At 46.9% G+C, this 26,661-nt stretch overlaps 1 pseudogene across 3 annotated transcripts, besides 1 other annotated feature; it reads right to left on the bottom strand.

Annotated features, from left to right (window-relative positions):
• LSP1P5 (LSP1 pseudogene 5) lies at positions 1–24,728 on the bottom strand (annotated as a pseudogene). Of its 3 annotated transcripts, none has more exons than NR_027354.2 (4): positions 22,464–22,636; positions 20,117–20,251; positions 19,669–19,746; positions 1–718 (listed from the first exon to the last, which is right to left on the bottom strand). The product of NR_027354.2 is annotated as an LSP1 pseudogene 5, transcript variant 1 (transcript). The 3 variants fall into 3 exon arrangements; NR_027355.2 differs by lacking the exons at positions 1–718; positions 22,464–22,636 and adding exons at positions 1,460–1,810; positions 24,656–24,728; NR_027356.2 differs by lacking the exons at positions 1–718; positions 19,669–19,746; positions 22,464–22,636 and adding exons at positions 1,460–1,810; positions 24,656–24,728.
• Positions 22,658–22,952: a silencer, noted in NCBI's record as "tiled region #154 duplicate 3; K562 Repressive non-DNase unmatched - State 20:ReprD". NCBI's record gives its function as "represses a minimal TATA promoter and a strong SV40 promoter by Sharpr-MPRA in K562 cells {active_cell/tissue: K562}" and the evidence as "EXISTENCE:reporter gene assay evidence [ECO:0000049][PMID:27701403]".
• Positions 24,729–26,661: the final 1,933 nt, after the last annotated feature.

The following is a 26,661-nucleotide window of genomic DNA, read 5'->3' as shown; positions in this document are numbered from 1 at the left end:
AGGGTATAAAGCAGTAATATTCAGGAAGGTGGAGCCTTTGGACAAAATGATAAAAGGAATCTGGGGCCTCAGCTACATCACTGAGCCTTTTCAAGTCCTTGCCTTCTTCCTCTTAAATCCTGTTATGTTACATAACTAAATGTCTTTATTGCAAAAGCCACAAGTAGTCAGGCTTTCTGTTATTCACAGCTGAAAGCATTTCTCTTATTTTCAAATAATTTCAGACTTATAGAAGAATTAATTGTAAGGCAAAGAACTTTCATGACCTTCACCCACCTTCACCAATTGTTATTTGCCACATTTACTTTCTCCATCTATATAGTCTATTCTACTCTATTATCTTTCCCTGAACCATTTGAAATTCAGTTGCAGGCATCCTTCTCCTCTCCCTTAAACATTCCAGAACATATTCCATCAGAACAAGAAGACTCTAGTGCTCAAGTTCGGGGAATTTGAGGTTGATGCCATACAATCGTGTAGTCCTTGATAATTGTCTAATATACAGTTCACTTAAAATTTCGCCAACAGTCCCAATAATGCCCTTTAAGGCACGTTTCCCCTGATCCAGCTGTCATACCTTTTTAGTCTCCCTTAATCTGGAACAGTTCCTCTGCCTCTTTTTGTCTATCATGGGGTTGACGCCGAAGAACAGTTCAGGTCAGTCCTTGAAGGTCCCTCCATCTGTGTTTGTCTGATGTTTCCTCCAGGGACCGGAATGCTACAGAAGCAATGCTGTGTTCTCAGTGTATCACATCAAGAAACACTTGGCACCCATTTGTCCTATTCCTGGTGTTGTTAACTTTGTTCAGCTCATTAAGGGAGGACCTGCTGGGTTTCTCTACTGTTAAGTTACCACTTTTTCTCTTTGCAATTAATAAACCATATGAGTGGAAGTGCTATGAGACAATGAAAACATACTTTACCTTCCTAAATTTTCACTCAGTGATGATTCTTCCTTGAATAAACTATTATGATCATGTTTGCAAATGGAGTTTTCTATTATTCCCTCTGTATTTATTCATTGGCATTCTACTGTAAGAAAGTCTTCTTCCTTCTTCCCTCCCTCCGTCCCTCCCTCCCTCTCTCCCTCCCTCCCTCTCTTCTTCTTTCTTTTCTTCCTTCCCTTTTCTTTCTTTCTATAGCTATAGGTTCCCATTTTATTCAATAGACTATAATCTACCATTATCATTATTAATTTGGATGCTCACATCATCCTAGATTTGGCCAGTGGAAGCCCCTTGAAGTTGATTGATGTGTCCTTTGACATGTCCCTGTCATTTTTTAAATGCTTCCTTGCTTTCTGGCACCACACAGCACTCTGGGCTCACCTTGTACTTCCCTACCCCAGCCTTAGCATCAGCCATTTCTACAAGGAGCTCTGAGTCCTTTTAGTGAAGGGTGGTATTTATAAACCACAATCTGGATGGTTTGTGGATATTGCACAGCATTCAGTCAGAAGCCATGGGAAATGAAGCGACATTTATTGAAACTTGTATTAGTCAAGCAACTTAATGCTAGGCTAAGTTGCAGTGAGTAATAATCCCTAACCCCAGTGACAGTGCAGAAAAAGAAGGGTTTCATATGTGGAGTGTGATGCATGTCAATGGGAGTTTCCTCCACCTGGTGACTCAGGTATCCAGGCACATTCATCTCTGCGGGTCTGCCATCTTGACACGAGGTCATTGCAGAAGGAGAGAGGGTGTAGAGTCATGCCAGTTCTTAGGTGCTCCTGACAAGGAGATCTGCAGCACTCTGCTCACATTCCTGTTTTCCAGAACTCAGCCAGTACCCAGTGCAACTGCCAAAGAGTCTGGGAAGCATAGAGAGTACACGGATAGCTGGAGATCCCTCATCACTACTGTCATGATATGTTCATTTATGCAATACATATCAATGGGTTCACCCCAGTCAGGCTGACTCCAAGAGGCTAAGATGACTTCACCTTGGGTGGTTTGCAGCTGGGAAAGAAAGGCAAGTCGGCACCGATCGAACAGATCATTCACTTCAGTGGGCTGTCGAGCTGTGCTAGAGGCAGGTGCAGTGTGCTGCAGAAATACAGATGGTGACTACTACCCTGGAGTCTTGGGGAGATCCTGGTGTGCATTGGTGTGGGGTTGGAAAGGTGAGTTGGCACTCACCCCCTTCAAGAAGAAGTGGGAAGGACATTTCAGACAGGGGCAAGTGCAAACGCACAGGGCCTGAAAGAACTAGGCTGGGAGAAGAGGATGGCATTGGAATGGGTGGGAGAGGGGTCTGCTGGGGAAAGCTGGGGAGGCAAGAGACGAGGCTGGACAAGCAGATTGTGAAGGGCCACACTGAGGAGCTGGGGATTAGTACATTAATTTTTATTAATTGGATTAATGATTAATAATGTGGGTGGCAGGGAATCATAGGGAGTGTGAAGAACACTGTGGTTGTGTTTTAGGAGGATTGCCTTGGTGGTAGAGCGTTGGATGGAGGAGATAGGAGTGGGGGTGAACACATCAACACAGAGACCTGCCCAAAGGCTCTGGCAGCCATGCAAGCAAAAAGCGTCGAGGACCTCAATTAGGAGGTAGCACTGGGGATGGATAGAAGGGGTTGGCTGGTGGAGCCATTTTGAGATAATGAATCAATAATAGCTTCCATCTATTGTGGATTGTCAAGATGTATTATTGGCTCACAATCCTTCCTGGCCTTTCCACATTCCTGCGACTTCCCTGTGGACAGGACAGAGCAGATTTCTTGCTGTGCACATGACCAGCTTTGGCTAGAGATGCATGAGCAGAGTTAGTGCATGCCTGGTCTGACTGGAGGCTCTAACTGAATGTGGTGTTGGGTGGCAGCACTGACCCTACCCCTGCACAATGAGAAGAGCAAGCTCCGGGGAACCACTGGCCTGTGAATGAGACACACAGAAGCAAACAGAGCCTGGCCCCCAGTCCGAGGCAAGGCTTCCCAGCTCACTGCAAATTATTAGCAAGAAATAAACACTTGTTTTGAGCTGCTGAGCCCCTGGGGCTGTGTGTTATGCAGCAATGCTGTAAAAACACTTGACCAATACAGGGACTTGCCCTTTCGTAAGTACAGCATCTCATTTACCCATGATATCTCTTCATAGTAAGGATTAGGGATGCCATTTTAAAGATGAGGCAACTGAGGCTTAGAGAGGTTACGTCACTTGCTTAAGGTTCCAGAGCTGGTAAGTCAGAGAAGGATTTGAAGCCAGGACTGTCTCGTAAGCCCATCCTTCTGCCTCTGTCTACACAGTGCTGCCTTTCAAAGGTGGCAAGCTCTTGAGTTAGCCATTTTAACCTGCCAGAAACCTCCTTGCTCCTGAACTGGGGAGAGGGACTGAGCTTTGGATTTCAAGAGGAGGATCTAGGGCCACCATCAGGGGTCCTGTGCTTGAGGTGATGTGGCTGGCTCATCACCTGAGCCTTTCCACCTGCCCCTCCCCATCCCCTCCCCTGTACCCTGCTCCCTGCCCTGTGCCAAGCTGAGCACATTGGCAGGGCTGGTGGCTGGGAGCTCAGCATGTATCCTGTAGCCACAGAACAGAGCTTTTCTTGCTATAATACAGAGTTCAGTCTTGATATCAGCAGTGGGTGCAGCAAAATCCCACCGATTTTCTTATCAAGTTTTCCATTTGTGTCAGTGAAGCAAATCCAATTTAAAATACATCTTCAGAAAAAGGAGGGTCAGTGAGTTCAAACAGAAGAATATTTGCTAACTGGATCAGGAAACCTCGCTCTGTGCTAAACTGTTTGAGGAAAATCCTCTTAGCACAATTTTGCAGGAGCCAGGCATGTGAAAGGATCATTTCCTCACTATCAACCCCTGAGATCAGGGCTCTGGCTGGATGAAACGAGGCAGCTGCTTAGCTGATTAGAGCCTGTGCTGATGAGGCTGAGCTCTGAAAGTCAACATCAGGGAGAGATCTTGGTTTCCAGTAGTTTTTAATTCTTCCCAACTCTTTGTGGGAAAGAGCCTGGGTAAGACAGGACACCAACTACTTGCTCAAAACCACCATCCCCACCAGACAAGCAGCTCATGGAACCCTCCCTGGGAAAGACTGAAGGCTGTGGAGACCTAGCTGCATATTATATTATATTTTGCATTATAAGGTCTTATCGATACAGAGAAAACTCTCAATTTCAAAAAATGATGAGAAACTCAGTCTTTTTTTTTTTTTAGATAGTCTTGCTCTGTCTCATCTCCCAGGCTGGAGTGCAGTGGCACGATCTCAGCTCACTGTAACCTCTGACTCCTGGTTCAAGTTATTCTTCTCCCTCAGCCTCCCGAGTAGCTGGGATTACAGGTGTCTGCCACCTCACCCAGCTAATTTTTGTATTTTTAGTAGAGATGGGGTTTTGCCATGTTGGTCAGGCTGGTTTGAGCTCCTGACCTCAGGTGATCTACCCACCTCAGCCCTGAAAGTGCTGGGATTAAAGGCGTGAGCCACCACACCTGGCCAAAAAATGAAGAGAAACTCAGTGTTTTGGATAACAGGGAGAATGTTTAGTGTTCTAAAAATGTATCCTTTCACATGTAAAGCTTCTTGCCTCTGAGCCTTTGCCAGTGCTGTTCCGTCTGCTAGGGTCGTACTTCCACCCTGCATGCTGGTGAATTCCACTTTGCCCTCCAGCCCAAGCATCATATTTTCCAGACAGTCATTTGCCATGCTGCCCACCAAACAGGCTGTCCCTTGTTCTCATGCCACTGCTGAACATTGTTTATTCCTTGTGCTAGGCAGGGCTCTGTCAGTTGTAACAACTGAAACTCCACTTAGACATGTTTCAGCTGAAGGGTGACTTATTGATTTTTATAACTGCAAAGACCATGGTATGCCTGAATTTGAAGGTTCAAGTAAGTTATTTTCTCTCTCTCTCTCCTCTTCCTCTCCTCCTTCTCATTTTCCTTCTCTTTTTCTTTCCTCTCCTCCTTCCCTCCGTTCTTCTTTTCCTTCTTTTTCTCTTTCTCCCTCTCTCCTTACTTTTTTCTCTTTCTCTCCTTTTAATTTGCTCTATTCTCTATATGGGTCTCGTTCCTTCTACTGCAAATAAGGAAAATGACCACCTGGAAACCCAAAAGGCCCACCACATCCCAGCAGAGCCACCCCAGCTGAAAGAAACCCAGCTTCTCTCTCCAGCTTCTACACATCAATCCAGGCCAGAACTCCATCTGACCCTTGTGAGACATGCTTCCACACCTCAGTGGACCACTGAGGCTCGGGAATTCAGCATAATGATGGGCACTTCTGGGGTCATGGGCCTTCCCTGTAGCTAAGGTGACAAAAGGACAGACTGGTCTGGAATGTCCATGCCAGCTGGCTTACATGCCCAGCCATTGATGCTGGCTGCTTTCTGGGAGCTCAGTTGTGCTCTAGACCAGAAAACCTCCATGTGGCCTCTCCACATGACCCTCATTTCTCAGCATGGTGGCTGCGGCCCAACGGGGAGACTCTCATGAGCAAAGTTTCCAAAAGACCAAAGTGGCAGCTGCGAGCCTCCTCATGGCTGAGCCTCAGCCCCCATGCAGCATCAGAGCCACTGCAGTCTTGGCTTCCCAGGAGGCCAGCCCAGAAGCAGCAAGAAAGGGGACCTGGAAACCAGGAGGTTTGGTTCGAGGGAAGGCCCTCTGATATAATTTGGATATTTATCTCCACCCAGATTTCAAGTTAAATTGCAGTCTCCAGTGCTGGAGTTGGGGCATGGTGGGAGTTGTTTTGACCATGGGGGTAGATCCCTCATGGCTTGCTGCTGTCTTTGAGATAGTGAGTTCTTGTGAGATCTGGTTATTTAAAAGTGTGTGGCATGTCCCTCCCCACACCCACCGACTCTCTCTTCCTTGTTCCTGCTTTGGCCACATGATGTGCCTGCTCATGATTGTAAACTTCCTAGGCCTCCTTAGAAGCCAAGCAGATGCCAGCACCATGCTTCTTGTGAAGCCCGCAGAACAATGAGCCAATACAAACTCTTTTCTTTATAAATTAACTTATCTCAGATATTTCTTTATAGCAACGCAAGAATGGCCTGATACGCCATCTTTGGAGACTAGCTAGCACATGGGCCTTCTCCATCTGTAGCTACACTTCTAGAACAGACATGGCTTCCAAGGCCACTGCAGCAGCTGGAGGAAGAGCTCAGGGTCCTGTGGGATGTTCCTCAGGCTCAGATCTGTGGTTCCGCCCACATTCTATTGGCCATAATCTCGCTCCCTAGCCTCCACTTGACAGCAAGGAACCTAAGGGAAGGGATCTGCTGAGGGCAATCTCTGCCACAAGGAGCAAGTGAAAGCAAGTAGAGAGGAAGCCAAGACTGATGCCCAAGTGGGAGAGGTGCTGAGGAGAGAGGTCTTTTTTTTTTTTTTGACAGAGTTCTGAATGTTTCAGAGTAGTCCAAGTGCACCCAAAAGCACAATAATTAAATGAGGGGCAGGAGAGTGGTTTAGAAGAAGATTGTTTTTCTGGATTCAGCTCCAACAAAGTTTGTCCTGCAGGTCTTGGTGCGGTGCCATGGTCCTTCTCGCCAATAATATTCAGCCTGGATACCCCGCTGTGGCTCTACCAGGGAGGAAAATATTTTCCTGCCACTGCCCTGAGCCTCCTGACTGACCCCAGCTGCCTTAGACATCCCAGCTTTTGGGACTACCCCAGACCTCCCTATAACCAGCAATCAGAGGCTGGCACAGCAAGGGTGCTTTGGAACCCTGCCTGGTGCTCCAGGGTGACAGGCAGCACCTGCTGTCATTGGTCAGTGTCTGTGCAGTATTTGCTAGAGTTTTGTGGATCTCAGCCTTGAAATCTGTGTCTTTCTATAGTCAAAGGATCTGAGTTGGGAGAAGGCACCTAGATATGCTCCACCATAGCGTTCTGGTGTTTCCTGTCATCTCTGAAGCCTCTGAGCTCTTATAACAGGGGCTTAAAGATGGTAGCATTGAGATATGAAGGCTTGTAGTTGTTGTCCAGTTCAGGGGACTTTAACTCCAGGTATCTGGAACTTAGAATAAATCCTCATGCCCTCACCATGGCAACAGGGCTCACCTCCTCTGTCTCATACCTCTCCCTCCCTTGGCCACTATTGCTACAGATATCCTGACCCTTTTACCTCTTTATCAAATAAGCCCACTCTGCCCCAGGGCCTTTGCATGGGCTTACTTTCCTCCAAGAATAATTTACTCCTGATATTTGCCTGACTAAATCCTTCTCACCTTTCTGATTGCAAAGAGGCTTCCTTGACAACTCATTCTGAAGCAGCTTTTCCCTCCAGTCTAGCTACTTTCTCTTTCGTTATTCTGTTTGATTTTATTTATAGCACTTAGCACTGTATGACATTGTTTATTTTGAAATTGTTTATTTCTCTCTCCTCAATAATATAAGCCCAAAAAAGACAAGGAATATGTTTTTGATTCTGTTTCTATCCCCGGGCCCTAGAATAGGGTCTGGGAGATAGTTGCAGCAGAATCCCTAGCTGAAATGGCAATCTTGTGCTAACTGGAAAAAAAGAGCTCCCTTGCCCCCATCCCTGTTTTTTTTTTTTTTTTTTTTTTTTTTTTTTTTAGATGGAATCTCCCTCTGTTACCCAGGCTGGAGTGCAGTGGTGTGATTTCGAAGAGAGCCCTTTCTTGATATACTTTGTCATCTTCTGCTAGAAGTTTTTTATACTCATTATACAAACCCACCCTATCTGTTACTTACACACCCTGTATGGCCCTGCTTCCACCCCAGCAAAAATGCTTGTGGAATGAATGAATGGGTTGGTGGAAGTCAGGGGGACTGGAACATCTGAAAACAAATGTCAGTGTGTGTGGCCAGCGTCTGTGCACCTTTCTTGATTGATTGAATCTTCTGTGCATTGATTTCATGGTATTGGGCACAGAATCCCCTTTTTTGCTCATTACCAACAAAGATTTGTCAAGCACCCACTCACTGTGTTCACTTGGGGAATTCAGACATGAACAAGACACAATTTCTTGATTTAAGAAGCTGAGATTCTAGAAGGCCAGGCAGTGATGTGAAAGATGGTGCATTCCAGGGTCATAATGGCTACACTAGGAGCCAGCCCAGGGCTCTCCTGGAGCACAGGACACCTGTTCAGTGCAGAGGACTCAGTAAGTCTTTCTGGAGAAGTGATTGAGCTGGCTCTGCAGGATGGAGAGGTTTGAAAATTGCTAAGTGCTTTGTACAACTTATAAAAATCCACGTTGCCCAGTTTCCAAGCAGTCTCATGTTCAGTAGACAAAAGGCAATTTTCAAACTGAAATTCTTTACTTGCATTTCTATTTCTATTTTCCTTCCTTCCTTTCTTCCTTCCTTCCTTCCTTCTTTCCTTCCCCCACCCCACCCCCTGAGTCTTGTTCTGTTGTCCAGCAGACTGGAGTGCAGTGGTGTGATCTCGGCTCACTGCAACCTCCAACTCCTGGGTTTGAGTAATTCTCCTGCCTCAGCCACCTCTCTATCTTTCTGTAGCTGGGATTACAGACACATGCCACCATGCCTGGCTAACCCAGATGCGGTTTCACCATGTTGGCCAGGCTCTTCTTGAACTCCTGACTTCAAGTGATCCACCTGCCTCTGCCTCCCAAAGTACTGGGATTACAGGTGTGGGCCACCGCGCCCGGCCCTTTACTTGCATTTCTTAAGTTGTGTGAAGTCAGTAGGGATTGTTCTCTAGAATTCCCTTTTACTCTCCTATCCACATTCCCCTAGATTGTAGTTCCCTCACCTCTTTCACACAATCTTACCTGCAAAACTCCACCCACAGCTTTCAATACCTCTCCCACTTCTCTGCTCTTTATTGTGAAGACAAGCACAGTTTCTTCCTTTTGGGACCATTCCTCCCTGCTCTGGCTTTTCAGGTCTAATAATGTATCCATCCTCTATCACAAAAGCCAAGCTAGAATCCTCTTTGGAGCACAGCCCAGGTCAAGAAACTGCATAGATACAGCAGAGGGAGAAACGAGGTTCAGAACACTCATGCATTAACTGTTTTGATCTCATCACAGTTTCTTCCTTTTTTTTTTTTTCTGAGGTGGAGTCTCGCTCTGTCACCCAGGCTGGAGTGCAGTGGTGCCATCTTGGCTCACTGCAACCTCTGCCTCCCACACGCCACCATGCCTGGGTAATTTTTGTATTTTTAGTAGAGACAGAGTTTCACCATGTTGGCGAGGATGGTCTCAATCTCCTGACTTCATGATCTACCTGCCTCGGCCTCCCAAAGTGCTGGGATTACAGGCCTGAGCCATCACACCTGGCTGGTCTCATCACACTTTCTAAACGACTATTATTAACTCATTTCCCAGATGAGAAAACTGAAGCTCAGAAAGATCAAGCGACCTGCCCAATATCCCAAAGCTATTAAGTGCCTATTCTTCCTGCCTGCCATACTTCCCTTCCCTCTGTCTTCCCCTTTGCCTACTTAACTGTGATTCAACCCAAAGAGAAATTTCCCCAGGAAAGCCTTTCCTAAACATCTTGCCTTGGCCAACCTCCCCAACTACTGTACACTTCGATAAGGCTGTGAACTTTCCCTTCACAGCCCTTGTCACATTCGTAATTGTTCATTTCCTTGGATTATTCCTGGGTTAAAGTCTATCTAGACTTTACGCATTTTTTTTTTTTTTTTGAGATGGAGTCTGGCTCTGTCGCCCAGCCTGGAGTGCGGTGGTGTGATCTTGGCTCACTGCAAGCTCCGCTTCCTGGGTTCACGCCATTCTCCTGCCTCAGCCTCCAAAGTAGCTGGGACTATAGGCGCCTGCCACCATGCTCAGCTAATTTTTTGTATTTTTGTAGAGAGGGAGTTTCACTGTGTTAGCCGGGATGATCTCAATCTCCTGACCTCATGATCCACCCGCCTCAGCCTCCCAGAGTGCTGCGATTATAGGCATGAGCCACTCTGCACAGCCTAGACTTCAAGCTTTTAGAATAGCGTCTCTCTCTCTCTCTCTCTCTCTCTCTCTCTCTCTCTCTTTCTCTGTCTCCCTCCCATTGTATAACCAGTGAGTAAAACAACATCTGGGACATGTCAGTACTTGCTAAATATTTACTGAATAAAAGAATGAATGACTGAAATTCAAACCCGTGTCTCCAAAATCCAAGTTCTTGTCTGACATCATGACTTGTTGTTCTCCAGGAGAACAGGAGACGTCTCTCTCTGTCTCCTAGGCTGAGATTGCAGTGGTGCAATCTCAGTTCACTGTACCCTCTGCCTCCTGGGCCCAAGTGATCCTCCCACCTCAGTCTCCCAAGTAGCTGAGATCATAGGCATGGACCACCATGCCTGGCTAATTTTTGTATTTTTAGTAGAGACAGGGTTTCGCCATGTTGGCCAGGCTGGTCTTGAGCTCCTGGCCTCAAGTGATCCACCTGCCTTGGCCTCCCCAAGTGCTAAGATTACAGGCACGAGCCACCATGCACAGCCATGCATATCTCCTTTATGTAACTTAACAACATCTGCAACGTTTGTTTGTGTGAGTTTTTTTATTCTGCCTGCATTTGTGTATGTGAGTCTTTTCCTGTGGATTTTTCCCACCATGGCTGTAAGCACCATGAGAGTGAGGAAAATAGCTGTTTTGCTTTATCATATTTTCTCTGGTGCCTAACAAAGTACCTGGAACACAAGAGAGTAACTAATGGGATAAATACACGCATTAATGGGATTTGTCAATGAAGGGAAAAATTTAGTGCATTAGCTTGAATGAGGAGGTAGGTCCTACTGGCCTCTTGGGTAGAGGCCAGGGCTGCCACTAAACATTCTACAATATACAGGACAGCTTCCCACACCAAAAACTATACAGCTTAAAATGTCGATAGTGCTGAGGTTGAGAAATCCTGGTTTGACATATTATTCCTGTGTTAAAATTAATGTATGTAAAATAATTTCCTCAGTTGTTAACATGGCATTTTTATCAAGCAATTTTGTTTTCTCTGAAATATACCTCAGATTGTTTTTAGTTTTTCCAGGGGAAACTATTCATCTTTTACTAGAGAAAAGAATATGGCAAACAGTGAATCTGTGTTTCAGGAAGGGTAACGTCGTTTTTCTTTTAATTTCCCTTTTGAAGCTCTCGGGGTGCTACCAACATCTTGGAAATCTGGATAATTTGAGTATTACTAAGGGAATAGTTTCATTCTACATGCTACAAATGTTTAATCATTTTATTTATCTAAAGCTCCTTTCTTGGCCAGGTGCGGTGGCTCATGCCTGTAATCCCAGCACTTTGGGAGGCTGAGGCAGGTGGATCACCTGAGGTCAGGAGTTGGAGACCAGCCTAGCCAAAATGGCAAAACCCTGTCTCTACTAAAAAAGTATAAAAATTAACTGTGTGTGGTGGTGCGTGCCTGTAATCTCAGCTACTTGGGAGGCTGAGGCAGGAGAATTGCTTGAACCCAGGAGGTGGAGGTTGCAGTGAGCTGAGTTTTCGCCACTGCACTCCATCCTGGGCAACAGAGCAGGACTTCTTCTCAAAATGAATGAATGAATGAAAGGAGAGGGAAAGGAAGCTCCTTTCTCTTCTATTCCCAGTATTGCACCCCAAAAATAAGTAATCCATAAACCCCCAATGTATATTTCTGTTTTCTTAACTAGTTCTGAACAAAATGTTCAGTGTTGGCTGGGCATGGTGGCTCATGCCTGTAATCCTAGCACTTTGGGAGGCTGAGGCTGAGGTCAGGAGTTTGAAACCAGCCTGGCCAATGTGGTGAAACCCCCTCTCTACTAAAAATACAAAAATTAGCTTGGCGTGGTGACGTGTGCCTGTAATCCCAGCTACTCAAGAGGCTGAGGCAGGAGAATCACTTGAATCCTGGAGGCAGAGATTGCAGTGAGCCGAGATCGTTCCACTGCACTCCCGCCTAAAACTCCATCTCAAAAAAAAGCAGGTGTTTTACTCTTAAAATAAGACATTAAAAAAATACTTCTGTTGTCTCCCCTCTTAGAACTGGTAATCTCTTCCTTCTCCACCCTCATCCCCTGCTGTAATTCTATATTGAAATATCATTGTATTTTGTGCCAGATGTCTTTGTATAAAACCAACTTAGTTCTGTGAGAAGAGTTGTACGTTTTTAATATTTTTGTTCTTTTTGTAGACTGCAGGAACAAAAATAGCCTTCCTATAGTAAGGTGGCAATTCACATTAAGAATGTAGATAAGCAAATTTAAACTTTTAAATGTAATTTGTCTAAAAAAATTGAAAAACAGTGTATAGTAAAAATCTCTCCTCCAACCAACGGAAAGTACTTTTATGTAAGATCCTTTAAGTTACTGACTTGAATCTTTACGTAAGGTAATTTGCTAGTATCTATTTTATAAATAATGTTATTTAATACTGTTTTATTTTCTATAGAATCCTGGTGTTTTTCCATGTAAATTTTTAAAAATTCTTAAAGTATGTATCCCTCATTTTCCCCTATAGTTGTTTGCTTCTACTTCTGTTTTTAAGAGATAGCATCTCAGTTGTTTAAGCTGGAATGCAGTAGCATGATCATGGCTTACTGCAACCTTGACTTCTTAGGCTCAAGCAGTCCTCCTGTCTCAGCCTCTAGAGTAGCTGGGATCACAAATGCATGCCACCATACCTGGCTAACTTTTCTTTTCTTTTCTTTTTTATTTTTTTGAGATGGAGTCTCACACTATCACCGGGCTGGAATGCAGTGGCGTGATCTCAGCTCACTGCAACCTCTGCCTCCCAGGTTCAAGTGATTCTCCTGCCTCAACCTTCCAAGTAGCTGGGATTACAGGTGCCCACCACCATGCCCAGTGAATTTTTTGTATTTTTTTTGATAGAGATGGGGTTTCACCATGTTGGCCTGGCTGGTCTCGAACTCTTGACCTTGTGATTTGCCCACCTCGGCCTCCCAAAGTGTTGGGACTACAGGTGTGATCCATCACACCCGGCCAACTTTTCTTTTTTTTTTTTTTTAAGAGACAGGGTCTTGCTCTGTTGTCCAGGTTGGTCTCAATTCCTGGGCCCAAGCAATTCTCCCACCTGGGCCTGCCAAGGTGCTAGTATTATAGGCGTGAGCCACTGCACCCAGCCCTTTATAGTTTCTTTCTTTTTTTTGAGATGAAGTTTCCCTCTGTCACCAGGCTGGAGTGCAGTGGTGCGATCTCGGCTTACTGCAACCTCTGCCTCCCTGGTTCAAGCGACTCTCCTGCCTCAGCCTCCCGAGTAGCTGGGACTACAGATGTGTGCCACCACGCCCTGCTAATTTTTGTAGTTTTAGTAGAGACGGGGTTTCGCCATGTTGGCTAGGCTGGTCTCAATCTTTTGACCTCGTGATCCACCCGCCTCGGCCTCCCAAAGTGCTGGCATTACAAGCGTGAGCCACTGTGCCCAGCCAGCTCTTTATAGTTTAAGAGGAAGGATAAACCTTAAGAGATCACAACACTATATTTGTGTCAGGGATCCACAAGACTGCCTCCATGTTTGGAGATTTGCTAGAAGGACTCATGGGATCAGCTTAGGGTTGTAATGGCTAAGATTTATTACTGTAACATAGTATGGATATATAGTAGAAAGATCTCAATGGCAAAAGACACTGACAGAGTCTGGAAAAATCCATGTACCGGCTTCCTTATGTGCTGTGCCTTCCATGAGGATCACACAGACTACCTTCTTTCCCCCTTAATGAAAATACAACAACCTATGTGACTTCCCAAGAAACACAGGTTTTATCTCGGCTGGGTCACATATGTGTACTCTGCCTAGCATGTGTGAAATTTCCAGACTCACAAAAAGAATAGCAGGATAAGCCACATTATTTCCATAGTCTAGATACAGTAAACCATGATTACCAGTTATGGAACCCTCTTGAAATTCAAGTCCTCAGAAGCCAGCCTAGGACCAACTGTGCAGACAGACAGACCCTCCTTCACAGGATAATATAATAGTCTCAGATCTGCTTTGTTAATTTTTGTTTGCATAGAGTTTTATAATTGGAAGATGTCTCAAATGCTACATATTTCTGTCTAATGGACTTTAGTAAGAGTGTTGTATAGTATACAACATGGAATTATTCTCCATTATAGGCAGGCTGTGATAAGTGTTCTAATGTTTATACAAAAGAACTCTGTAACTTTGAGCAGAGTAAAGAGAGTGTTAACGATACTTTTGACTGCAAATAGTGGAAAAATGTTGTGTTTAACTCTGAAATATGCTTTGCCTGATATTAGTATTTCTATTCTAGCTTTCTCTTGACTAGCGTAAGCATGGTATATATTATTCCATTCTTTTATTTTAACCTGTTTGCATCTTTGTATTTAACTTGTGTTTCTTGAAGGTGATAGTTTTATTTCTCTGATAAAAACATATAAGAAGACAATCACATTAAATGTATATGGTCTAAAACCTCTGCTTTTTAATTGGGGGTATTTAGACCATGTACATTTAATATGATTGTCTTCTTATGTTTTCTATTTATCTCTATCTGTTCCTTGCATTTTTCTTGCATCCCCCACCTGCCAAGATGGGGTCTTGCTCTGTCACCCAAGCTAGAGTGCAGTGGTGTGATCATACCTTACTGCAGCCTTGACCTGCTAGGCTCAAGTGATCTACCTCAGCCTCCCAATAGTGGAGACCACAGTTGTGCACCATCATACCCGGCTACTTTATTTTTTTATATATGGGGTCTCACTATGTTGTCCAGGCTGGTCTCATACTCCTGAGCTCAAGTGAGTCTCCTGCCTTGGCCACCCAGAGTGCTGGGATTACAGGTGTGAGCCATTGCACCTGGTCTTCTTGCATGCTTTTACTTTATTTATTTATTTATTTTTTTTGAGAGAGAGAGTCTCGCTCTGTTGCCAGGCTGGAGTGCAGTGGCGCTATCTTGGTTCACTAGAGTCTCCGCCTCCTGGGTTCAAGCGATTCTCCTGCCTCAGTCTCCTGAGTAGCTGGGATTACAGGTGTGCACCACCACACCCAGCTAATTTTTGTATTTTTAGTAGAGACGGGGTTTCACCATGTTGGCCAAGATGGTCTCGATCTCCTGACTTTGTGATCCGCTTACCTTGGCCTCCCAAAGTGCTGGGATTACAGGCGTGAGCCACCGTGCCCAGCTTACATTATTTATTATGATTCCAGTTTGCCTCTTTTTATTACTTTTACCTATTTTTAAAAATTATTTTTGTGGTTCCTTTAAGATTATAGTGCACATTTAGAGAGGTCAAGTAATATTGTACACTTCATCTATAATAAAAGCATTCCTTCATTTACTTTCTTTTCCTCCCTCCTGCACTTTGTGCTATTGCTGCCATGCATTTGACTTTTACATATGTTATAAACTCTGTAACATTTTGCTGTTTTTTTATTAAACATGTATCTCTTAGAGATTTAAATAATAAAAAATTTAAAAGATGTTTGCTCATATAGTTACCACTTTGGTGCTCTTTATTCCTTCGTATTGATCCAGATTTTCATCTGACATCATTTTGTTTCTGAAGAATATCCTTTAACATTTCTTGCAGTGAAGGTCTCCTGGTGATGAATTATTTCATTATTTATGTTTCTGGTGTGTCTTTATTTCACCTTCATTTTTGAAAGATATTTTTGCTAGGCATAGAATTCTAGTTGGCCTTTTTTCTTCTAGAACTTTAGAGATGTACCGCTGTCTTCTCACTTGCATTGTTTCTCAAAAGAAATCTGATGTTGTTCTTATCTTTGTTCTTCTATAGGTAACATGTCTTTTTATACACCTGCTATTAATAATGTTTCCTTGATTTTGAACAATTTGATTATGTTATCCCTTAGTGTAATTTTCTTCATGTTTCTTGTGCTTGGGGTTTGCTGAGTTTCTTGGATCCGTGAGTTAATAGGTCTTGTTATGGCTAGAACATTTTCAGCAGTTGTTTCTTCAAGTATTTTTTTTCTCTTTCTTTTTTTTCTCCTTTGGGGACTCCAGTTACCTGCATATTATTAGGCCATTTGAAGTTGCCTGACTGCTCACTGATGCTTTTTAAAAATCACTTTTTAACATTTTTTTTTCTTTTTGTACTTTAGCTAGTGTCTGTTCTTGTATCTTCAAGTTTGCTAATCTTTTCTTCTGCAGTTTCTAATCTGCCTTAGTTCATCCAATGTAATTTTCATCTCAAATGTTTTTGTCTTTGAAAGTTTGATTTTGGCTTTTCTTGTTTATCTCCCATGTCTCTATTTAATGTTTTGATTATATGAGATACATGTATAAAAACAGTTTTAATGTCCTCCTCTGCTAATTTTAACATCTATTTAAGTTCTGGGTCAGTTTTGATTGATTATTTTCAGTTTGCATCATGATTGTCTGCTGCTTTTTATGCCTGGTAATCCTTATTTAGTTGTAAAATTTACCGACAAAAGCAAAGTGACAAAAGGAGATAGGAAATATCATGAAAACAATTTCTCCAAAAAAAAAAAAACTTATGATGCCTAATCCCCTGAATAAAGACATTTAAGCCTTTCTTGCTTCATATTTAGACAAAAATCTTCCTGCTTATGTTCCTATTTCATCTCTGAAAACAGTGTAAGCAACCAGTTGTCCGAGGCACCATTCTTGGACAGTAATAATGTGCTGTCCTTCGTATATGAAGATGTAATTACTGTAGTAGCAACAAAAACCTAAGCTTTTGGATTGGATTCTGTTTTGGTTTTATTTTCTTCTACCACTACAATAAATGACACATAATCTTTCACTCTTAACAATAAATGGTGCATAATTTTAAGACAATTATGTGGAATTCAGAGAGAAATTCATGCTCATGGAACACGATTTATATTCTGTGAAGTATTAACAATGACTTAATGAATGAACACGTAATCTGATTTAACTAACACCATCTTATTAATTGATATTACATACACAGATCAAAATTTTGTAATATATTGAACAGGACTTAACAGAAAACTACATATATGTAAGTGATTAATAATCTTTCAATACGATGATGAAGCCAACAGAAAACTATAAAAACTATATTTGAGAAAGATGGAAAGTGGTAATAGGAGTATATATGTTCTCCAACTTCTAAATTAGAGAAAATCTTACGAGTCAGCAAGTTAACACTTAATTTGATTATTTTTGATGTTACCAGCCCCAGAAATAGCATTCTGAAACAGATTACAGGCTTTCTTCTTTCTATTTGTTGATACATCAACTACCACAACTCACCTTTCATTTTGTTGCTAAATTTTCAGAATAAAGTGTGTGTGTGTGTTAAAATTCTCCTGCTAAAATAATCTTTCTATGTTCTTACATATTTAGGTTTGGAATATGGTTCATGATGGCAGAATTGTCCAGGTCAATATAGTAAAATACTCTGACCAAGACAGTAGGACCCAGACTCAAGCTGGGGAAGAGATAAATAAGCTCAGTTAAAAAGAAAAAGAGGGCCAGGAATGGTGGCTCACACCTGTAATCCCAGCACTTTGGGAGGCCAAGGCGGGCAGATCACCTGAGGTCGGGAGTTCAAGACCAGGCTGACCAACATGGAGAAACCCTGTCTCTACTAAAAAATACAAAATCAGCTGGGTGTGGTGGTGCATGCCTGTAATCCCAGCTACTCGGGAGGCTGAGGCAGGAGAATCGCATGAACCCGGGAAGTGGAGGTTGCGGTGAGCCAAGATCATGCCACTGCACTCCAGCCTGGGCAACAAGAGCAAGACTGTCTCAAAAAAAAAAAAAAAAAGAAAGAAAGAAAGAAAAAGAAAAAGAGGTTGGGCATAATGTCTCAAGCCTGTAATCTTATCACTTTGGGAGGTCAAGGCAGGAAGATGGCTTGAGCCCAGGAGTTCAAGACTAGCCTGGGCAACACACTGAGAATCCATGTCTACAAAAAACTAAATAACTTAGTGGAGCAGGGTGGTGCACACCTGCAGTCCCAGCTACTTGGCTGGGAGGCTGAAGTGGGCAGATCACTTGAGCCAGAGAGGTTGAGGCTACAGTGAGTCATGTTTCTACAACTGCACTTCAACCTGGGCTACAGAGCGAAATCTTGCCTTAAAAAAGAAAGAAAAGAAAAAGAAAAAAGAGAAGAAGAAAAGAAGAAAGAAAAGAAACTTGCTGCATAGACATGACCATATTCATTTGAAAGCAAGTTAGTAAATATGTATCCTGAAAAGATAGTTTAGAAAAGAAACTTACAGGCCATGACCAGAGTGATTATAAAACATTCTCTTAACAGTTAGCAGGTGGAATAAAAAGTGTATTCTTTAAAATGATTTCATTACTAGTAAATAGTTCTATAAGGAAAAGTAGGGGGAAAAAGGCAAAGAAATATGAAACTAAGTCAATGAAAAGCAAATAGGCTATGATCACACATCTAAAGGCCATGAACATGGCAAAGAGTATTTTAAAGAATCTAAAAAGTGTACTTTGAATTTTAAAGTATTTTAAGAGATTAATTTTATAAAAGGAAAAACAGTGTTATCACGCAGAAGGACCATATTTAGTATAATCAAAAGTTTAAGAAATTGGCCAGGAGTGGTGGCTCACACCAGTAATATCAGCATTTTGGGAGGCCGAGGCGGGCGGATCGGATCACCTGAGGTCAGGAGTTCAAGATCAGCCTCGCTGACATGGCAAAACACCACCTCTGCTAAAAGCACAAAAATTAGCCAGGTGTGGTGATGCACACGGGTAATCACAGCTTCTTGGGAGGCTGAGGCATGAGAATTGCTTGAATCTGGGAGGCAGAGGTTGCAGTGAGCCAATATCATGTCACTGCACTCCCGCCTGGGCAATAGAGCAAGATTCTGTCTCAATCAAAAAAAAAAAAAAGAGTTTAAGAAATTAAGGAAAGCTGAGTGTAATGAAACCTTTTCAAGGGTAGTAGTGGTATAGCTCAAACCTGGTTTGAATTCCAGCTTTGTCACTTACTGGGTAAGTAAGTAGCAGCCTTAAGCCCAACTGGTGTTTGCTATTTGCACGTATTTTCATAAATAAAAGTGGTCTGTAATGTTTTCACAGTGTTGTCAAACTTCAAGATTATTAAAACTATTAATATCCTGTTTAATGTTTAAGAATAAATAACTATTTGATATCTTTTAACTACTGTCCTATCACTGACTTTTAAGACTCTTACTGACAATTTTGTGATTTTTTCATGTAATCATCCTTTATATCTTACTTAGCAAGTTCTCTATTAGACATATGTCTGCTGAATGAAACTTAATTACAGATATTTTTGAACATTTATTAAATTTAAATTATATTTGTACTTGTAAGAAATATTTAAACAATGCTTTGTTTTTCTAAAATAAAAGAAAACCAATAGCACAAACCTTCATTTTCTAAGTGTGTCAAGTTGTTTTGTTTTTTTTATTTGCTTGTGTGTTTGTTTTTTGAGACTGAGTCTCCCTCTGTCGCCAGGCTGGAGTGCAGGGTGCGAGCTCGGCTCACTGCAACCTCCAACTTGCTGGTTCAAGTGATTCTCCTGCCTCAGCCTCCCAAGTAGCTGGAATTACAGGCATGTGCCCCTGCGCTCGGCTAATTTTTTTTTTTTTTTTTTTTTGTATTTTTAGTATAGACCAAGTTTCACCACGTTGGCCAGGATGGTCTCCTCCTGACCTCGTGATCCACCCACCTCGGCCTCCCAAAGTGCTGGGATTACAGGTGTGAGCCACTGTGCCTGGCCTATTTTAACTGTTTTATGTCTTCTGGTTTCGTGTGACAATGAAATAAGTTAATATTTCCTGCCTGCACCAACCACATTTAGGCTCTACCTTAATTGTTGATGAGGTCTTGGAGCCTCCCTTCTGCTCCCAGAGGCTTTTCTTGCTCATGTCTCCAGCCACAATATCCTGGGGGCAGCAGAAGGGTATGTCACAAGGGCAGACCCCTGGATCTTGGGGAGTAGAAGCCCTGGGCCCTTCTCTCCTGCCTTGCCTTACCTGGCCAGGGGGCCTGGGATCTGCCTACCAAAACTTTTTCTGTGCGATCCCAGTGGAAGAAGCAGGGAAAGGAATAAAGGTGCCATCCACCTCCACTCGGACAACACAGCCTTCTACACCAGCAAGGGTGAACCCAACCCTACTGCAATACCTCAGGGTTCTGTCTGCCCACATTCATCCTGGACAGTCCCACGCTTGTCTTAACAAGGAAACCTGGCCTGCTACTAAACTCCCCAGTGCTGGCTCTGCAGCCCAGCCTTGCCCCTGGAGGGGACCTTACCTTGCAGGACGGAGTCTTGGCCGCAGACTGAGCCTATACCTCACCCGTCTCCCACCAACTCTTGGTACTGGATGCAGCCATGCTGGGCAGCTCTATGGAGGCCTGGCGGGCTAGCTTGGGGGTCTGGCCAGCAGTCTGCAGAGGAGGAAAAGCATCAGGATTACCTTAGTGGACAGCCACCGTGGTCACATCAGAGGGTCACACTGGGCAACCCTCTGCTTTGTGTTTGTGTTTTCCCTGGGAGCGATTTCCCAATGCAGCCCTAGAGTGGGGATCACTGGAAAGATGTGCCTTCCTCCATTCAATGCAATTGTGAGACACCTCCCTTTCCTGAAGAGCATCAGGGAGATGATGGCGCACAAGACAGATGTGGGTCTGCCTCCATGCTGCTCATGGGGTAGGGCTGGGGGACCATGGGATGGATGGAGGGACATTGAATGGATGGAGGGACAGTGGTTAAATTGCAGAGTATTGGTTGGATGGAGGAGCATTGATTAGATGGAGGACTATTGGTTGTATAGAAAGGTGTTGATGAAGGAATATTGATTGGATGGAGGAGTACTGATTATATGAGGGAGTATTTGTTAGATGGAGGGGCACTGATTGAATGCAGTAGTAGCCACCTGGCTGGGGGCTGCTGGGCCTCGTTCCACGTGGGGAGGCAGAGCCTGGGGTGCAGGGGCCCTCATGCTCACTCACGCCCCCACTCACGACCCAGCCCCTCCAAATGGAGGGCGGCGCAGAGCTGGGGCAGAGTATTGAGGAGGTGGAGGGTTTCCATGGAGGAGAAGCCTGGCCATGTTGCTCCCCATGTTCCCATGTCCCAGCCCCTCCATGTGAGCAAGGTCTCAGCTGGGGTGTGTGTCCTTGGGCCTGGGGCATGAGATGGAGCCCAAGCTCCTCCTTGGACCTGGGCTTCCAATGGGTCCAGGGCCCTCACTCCAGCTCCACAGACCCCCTCCACCAAGCCATAGGGGAGGCGTGGCTTGGAAGCACACATTGGCACAGAGACCCCAGAAGCCCGTGTGCACACGTTTCCTTAGGTCCACCCCTAAGGGCAACGAGTCCGGGCCCCAACAGCCCCATAAAGGCCCTCACTCTGCTCACAGCTCATGCCCAACACATGGAGTGCGGCCGGGCGCGGGACTCCCTAGGCCTGGGGCACATGCAGGTGCACACCCAACTCACACACATTCTCCACGAGCCCACGCTCCGGCCACACAGGCACACATGCCCGCACCCCATGCACATACAAATATGCACGTGCTCACACACGGGAACCCTTGACATCCACGTGCATGTGCAGACAAGCTTGGGAACAAGGGGACCACGTCCCCCTCCAGGGATCCCTTCAGGGTGCTGCAGCCTCACTTTAGTGAGGCAAACATTGACTGTTTGCCTTGCCATAGCCCTGACAACGGCGGTGCCGGCCCTGGCACGAGGCCCAGGTGTGTACTCTGGGAACATCATCCATGCAGAGCTGGGCCCCTGGAGGATCACTCTGACTGAGCTCTCCCTGGCTAGGGGCCTGGGGGACAGAGTGGGGATGCAGAGTAAGCATCTCCTGGTGTCTCCCCTAAAACCCAGTGCTGGGGAGAAGCCCCGCCAGCCCCTGGCCTCTGACCCAGCAGAGCTGAGGACGTGGAGGCCTCTGGGCCCCTTCTCCGTCTCCTCCCTTTCCCCTACCCCAGGATATGAGTCATGCGGGCCCCCTCCCCATGACCTCACCGCATCACTATTCCACAGCCGGGCTCCGTTCTGGGAACTGAAAGGGGGGCAGCTCTCCTGGGGTGGGGTGGGGGCCTCTGGCCTGGGAAAGGCGCCCCTCGGTCAGCGGCCCAGGCCCCTTGGCATACACCACGGAGCTGTCAGGACTCTGGGATGGCCGACCCCGCCCGTGGCCCTGGCTCAGCCCCGTGCAGCTGCGAGGGATTTGGTGTTCCTGCGCAAATGCAGTTAGGCCATTTCCTATGTCTGTTCCGGCTCCGAAGTCCAAGGTTCAGCCCAAGCGGCCAGGCGGTGGAGGGGGGGCTCCATCCACCTCCCACCCCAGCACACCCCCCCCACCCTCACAGTCCCAGGCTCCACTTCGGGGCCCGGCCCCCAGCCAGGGACACCAGTATGCACAGAACCCTGAAGGATGCCTCGTTCTGAGTGGAGCTCCCCAAGCTCAGGTCTGTTCCTGTCGGCCTCGTCCACTGCCAACCACCCCCAACTCGGGACACTGGCCCTTCTTCTCCTTCCTCCACAGACCTCCCCACCTCTACCTCCCAGTCCCCACTGAGGGCCTGACAATGCCCATCTTCGGCCCAGCACTCCCAGCTACCCACTGCCGTCCTTCCCCTGCCTGGAAGTGCAGACACTTCCAGAATGGGTGTCCGGCTCGGTCCCCGTCCTGACTCTGCTCCCTACAGGCAGCTCCTGTGGCTGCCCCGCCCAGCTGTCCTGAGCCCAGAGGTCGGCTGGAGAGGGTCAGTCCTCTCTGGGGTCCTGGGGAGTCAGGAGGCTCTGGTGAAGAGCAAGGGCTGCAGGGAGGATGTCGAGGGGAGGAGGAGCTTCTCCTCCAGGCCTGACCACAGGTCTCCTGGACACCACAGGGAGCTGGCGGGAGGACTGGGGAGTTGGGCTGGGCCTTCCACCAGGGTGGTTCAGGACTCCCTGCACAGCACTGAGGTCTCTGGTCCCCTCATTAGCCCAGCCTCCCGTGGGATCATAGACTTGACCCCTCAAGTCACTGCAGAGCCCAAGAGTGGAGAAACACAGCACCGTGTGCCGGGAAAAGGTGCCCACAGGGGCCCTTCATGGCTGAGGCTTCCAGAGGGTAGTGGGACGGCAACCCCGCTCCCCACCAGCCGCCCACCACAGCGTTCATGATACAGCTTCGGAGTGTGGGTCGGGGTCTATCTGGGAAACCAGGGCAAAGGCGGTGGCAGCTGGCAGCACCCACACCCACAGCTGGGGCACTGCTCACATGAGCCCCCATCAGCAGGCCCCTTGGTTGTGCCACAGGCAGGGGTCCTGCCCCAGGGAGGGGGTAGTCCGGGGGGGCTCGAGGGTGTGGCACAGGCCAGCTGTCACTCCTCCCTGGAGAGGCAGCTGGGGACGCAGCTGGGAGGGGAGCCAGGAGCAGAGACAGCCCGGGGCCAGCAGGTGGGTGACAGGTGGGGCAGCGGGAGGGGCACGCGCTGTCCGCCTGGGGCTGGGGTGTAGAGACGGGAACCTGCCCCCCAATGCCTGGTGCTGGCCCAGCCTCCCCCCGGGGTCTCTAGCACCTTCCCAGTTGTGTCTGCACCCTCCTGGGCATGGCGGGGGAGGGTGGGGGTCAACCCCTTTCCTTGTAGTCCCGTGCCAGTGGGCAAGGGAGACGCCCCAGTGAGCAGGAGCCTAGCCTCTCTGCCTGGGGAGGCCAGGTGATGAGCCACCCGGAGTGGGAGGGGGCCTTGAACTTGGGTCTGAAAGATGAGCAGGGGTTTGCTGGGCCGGGTACAGGCAAGAGCTAATGCAGGAAGGCAGAGAGCAGGAGCGCTTAGAGGGAGTGGCTCTGTGCAGCCGGAGTCAGATGGGTGACCCTCACTCAGGAGGAAGCACTGGGACCCTCTCTCCTCACGCTGGGTCCCCCGCCTCCCTCTAGGATCCCCACACCCAGGTCCTTCTGGGCCTCTGCCACACAGATCAGGTCTGGAAGGCTCCCTGGAGGAGGCGGTGCCTAGACTTGGACATAGGCCTGCAGAGCTGGTTTCCCTCACAACCCTGGGAAGACAGAACTCCTCAGCGGGTTGATGTGGAGGAGGGCGGAGCCTCCCTCCAAGGCACCAGTCCAGTGCTGGGGGCGACACAGAGAGCCAGAAGCTGGCGGGGGCGGGAGGCTCTGCCCCCCAAGGGCTTTACATGCCGAAGCCCCATGGCCGAGCTGGGACCCAGGGTCAGCCCAGGCAGGCCGCGAGAAAGGAGACTGTGGGCCCCACCCCATCACACAGGGAGGAGGTGCTGTGCCCGCTGGGGGGGCAGCTGCCCCTCTCTGGGCCCTTTGGGTGGGAAGAGGCTTGGTGAGGTAGAAAGCCCAGCCCCAGCCAGCAGCGTTGCCTTCTCACAGTGGCAGCCCTTTGTAACCCCGGGGGGTCCCTGCAGGGCCTCTCCCTGTTTTCTCACCATGGGGCAGCATTTGGGGGTCTCTTGAGGGACCCCCTAGATGCTTCTGCTCAGAGCCCCCAAAGCCAAGGAGCCTCCACTCCTCCGTCTGCAGCCTCCCCTGCCGGTTCTTGCTACCCAGGGTTCAGTGGCCTGGGGGCTGACGGAGGGGGTCGCCTCTGCCAAGGCCCCTCCCGGCGCCTCCCTGGCTCATCCAGCCCACCTTCCTCCCACGCTGGCTCACGCAAAGTGTTCTGGTCACCAGGAGCCCTTCCTGACCAGCCCCGGCCCCTTCTTGGCCTTCGCCCCACCTGGCCTCCCCTGGATCCCTGACCTGGGTGCCGGGCCTGCTGGGTCCAGAGCCCACCCCGCCCTGAACAACCCCGAGCCTCAGCCACCCTCAATTCTTACCCTTTCACAGCTGGGGAGTGGAGTCTGGGCCTGAGGTCTCCTGTGCGCCTCTGGGCGCCTGCGCCCGCGCTGTGCCTTTGCGAGGGCGGAGCTGCGTTGTGCTCAGCACAGACTCGGAGAGCATCGCGAGGGCGGAGCTGAGTTCTCCTGTGCACAGACTTCGGAGATACAGCGAAGGCGGAGCAGTGTTCTCCTTGGCACAGACCCGGGCGGGCCGGGGGCACCGGGAGGGCGGAGCTGCGTTCTGCTCAGCACAGACCCGGGGGACACCGCGAAGGCAGAGCAGCGTTCTCCTCAGCACGGACCTTGGGGGCACTGCCTCGCTTTGGGACAACTCGGGGCCGCATCGACGGTGAATAAAATCCTTCCTGTTTGCAGCCCTGAATAATCAGGGTCAGAAACCAGATAGAAGGGTTCAGTGTGGAAAACGGGAAACCAAAAGCCCCTCTGAATCCTGCCCACCGAGGTTCTCCCCAGCCAAGGTGAGGCGGCCGCAGTGCGAGATCCACACCGCAGCCTCGGAAGACAAATGCAGCATTCCTAATGCAGACATGGCACTCAAAAGATGACACCCCCCTTGCTCATGTAACAAGCACCTGTAGTGCTAATGCACTGCCTCGACACAAAAACATTAATATAAGATCCACAATCCCCTCGCTGCCGTGCAGTCCTAAGACAGCGATCATAATAATCAACATTGACATAGTCAATACAAACGTAGTAACGAACCTAGGCTTAAGGTTGGTGTTAGGGGTTAAGTTTAGGGTTAGGGGTTGGAGATAGGGGTTGGGGTCAGAGTTAGGGGTTAGGAGTCAACATTTAGAGTTAGGGGTTAAGAGAGGTTGGGGGTTAGGGATTAGGGGTTAGGGTTGGGTTAGGGGGAGGGGGAGAGTTGTGGTTAGGGGTTAGGGTTAGGGATTAGGGTTAAGGTTAGGGGTCAGGGTCAGGGGTCCCACTCTGTTGGCTGTCTATTTACTCTACTGACTGTTCCCTTTGCCATGCAAAAGCTATTTAGTTTAATTAAGTCCCAGCTATTTATCTTTGTTTTTATTGCATTTGCATTTGGGTTCTTGGTCATGAAATCCTTGCCTATGCCAATGTCTAGAAGGGTTTATCCAGTGTTATCTTCTAGAATTTTTATAGTTCAGGAATTAGGTTTAAGTTTTTAATCCATCTTGAGTAGATTTTTGTATAAGGTGAGAGATGAGAATCCAGTTTTATTCCCCTACATATGGCTCGCCAATTATCCCAACATCATATGTTGAAAAGGGTGTCCTTTCCCCACTTTATTTTTTGCTTACTTTGTCGAAGATCAGTCGGCTGTAAGTATTTGGGTTAATTTATGGGTTCTCTCTTCTGTTACATTAGTCTATGTGCGTATTTTTAAACCAGTACCATGCTGTTTTGGTAGCTATGGCCTTATTGTACAGTTTGAAATCAAGTACTGTGATGCCTCCAGGTTTGTTCTTTTTGCTTAGCCTTGGTTGGGCTACATGGCTCTCTTTTGGTTCCATATTAATTTTAGAATTGTTTTTGTAATTCTGTGAAGAATGATGGTGGTATTCAGATGGGGATTGCATTGAATTTGTAGATTGCCTTTAACAGAATGGTAATTTTCACAATATTGGTTCTACCCATCCACGAGCATGGGGATGCGTTTCCATCTGTTTGTGTCATCTATGATTTCTTTTCTTTCTTTCTTTTTTTTTTTTTTTCTTCAGAGGGAGTTTTGCTCTTGTCGCTGAGGTGGGAGTGCAATGGTGTGATCTCGGCTCACTACAACTTCTGCCTCCCAGGTTCAAGCGATTCTCCTGCCTCAGCTTCCCGAGTAGCTGGGATTATACGCATGTGCCAACATGCTTGGCTCCAACTATGATTTCTTTCAGCAGTGTTTTGTAATTTTCATCGTAGAGGTCTTTTGATTCCTTTGCTAGGTATATTCCTAAGTTTTTTGTTTGTTTGTTTGTTTGTTTGTTTTTGCAGCTATTGTAAAAGGGGTTGAGTTC

The sequence above is a fragment of the Homo sapiens genome, chromosome 1, assembly GCF_000001405.40.
Source record: "Homo sapiens chromosome 1, GRCh38.p14 Primary Assembly".
In the NCBI taxonomy this organism is placed as follows: Eukaryota; Metazoa; Chordata; class Mammalia; order Primates; family Hominidae; genus Homo; species Homo sapiens.
This window is presented reverse-complemented; position numbering and strand designations above follow the sequence as displayed.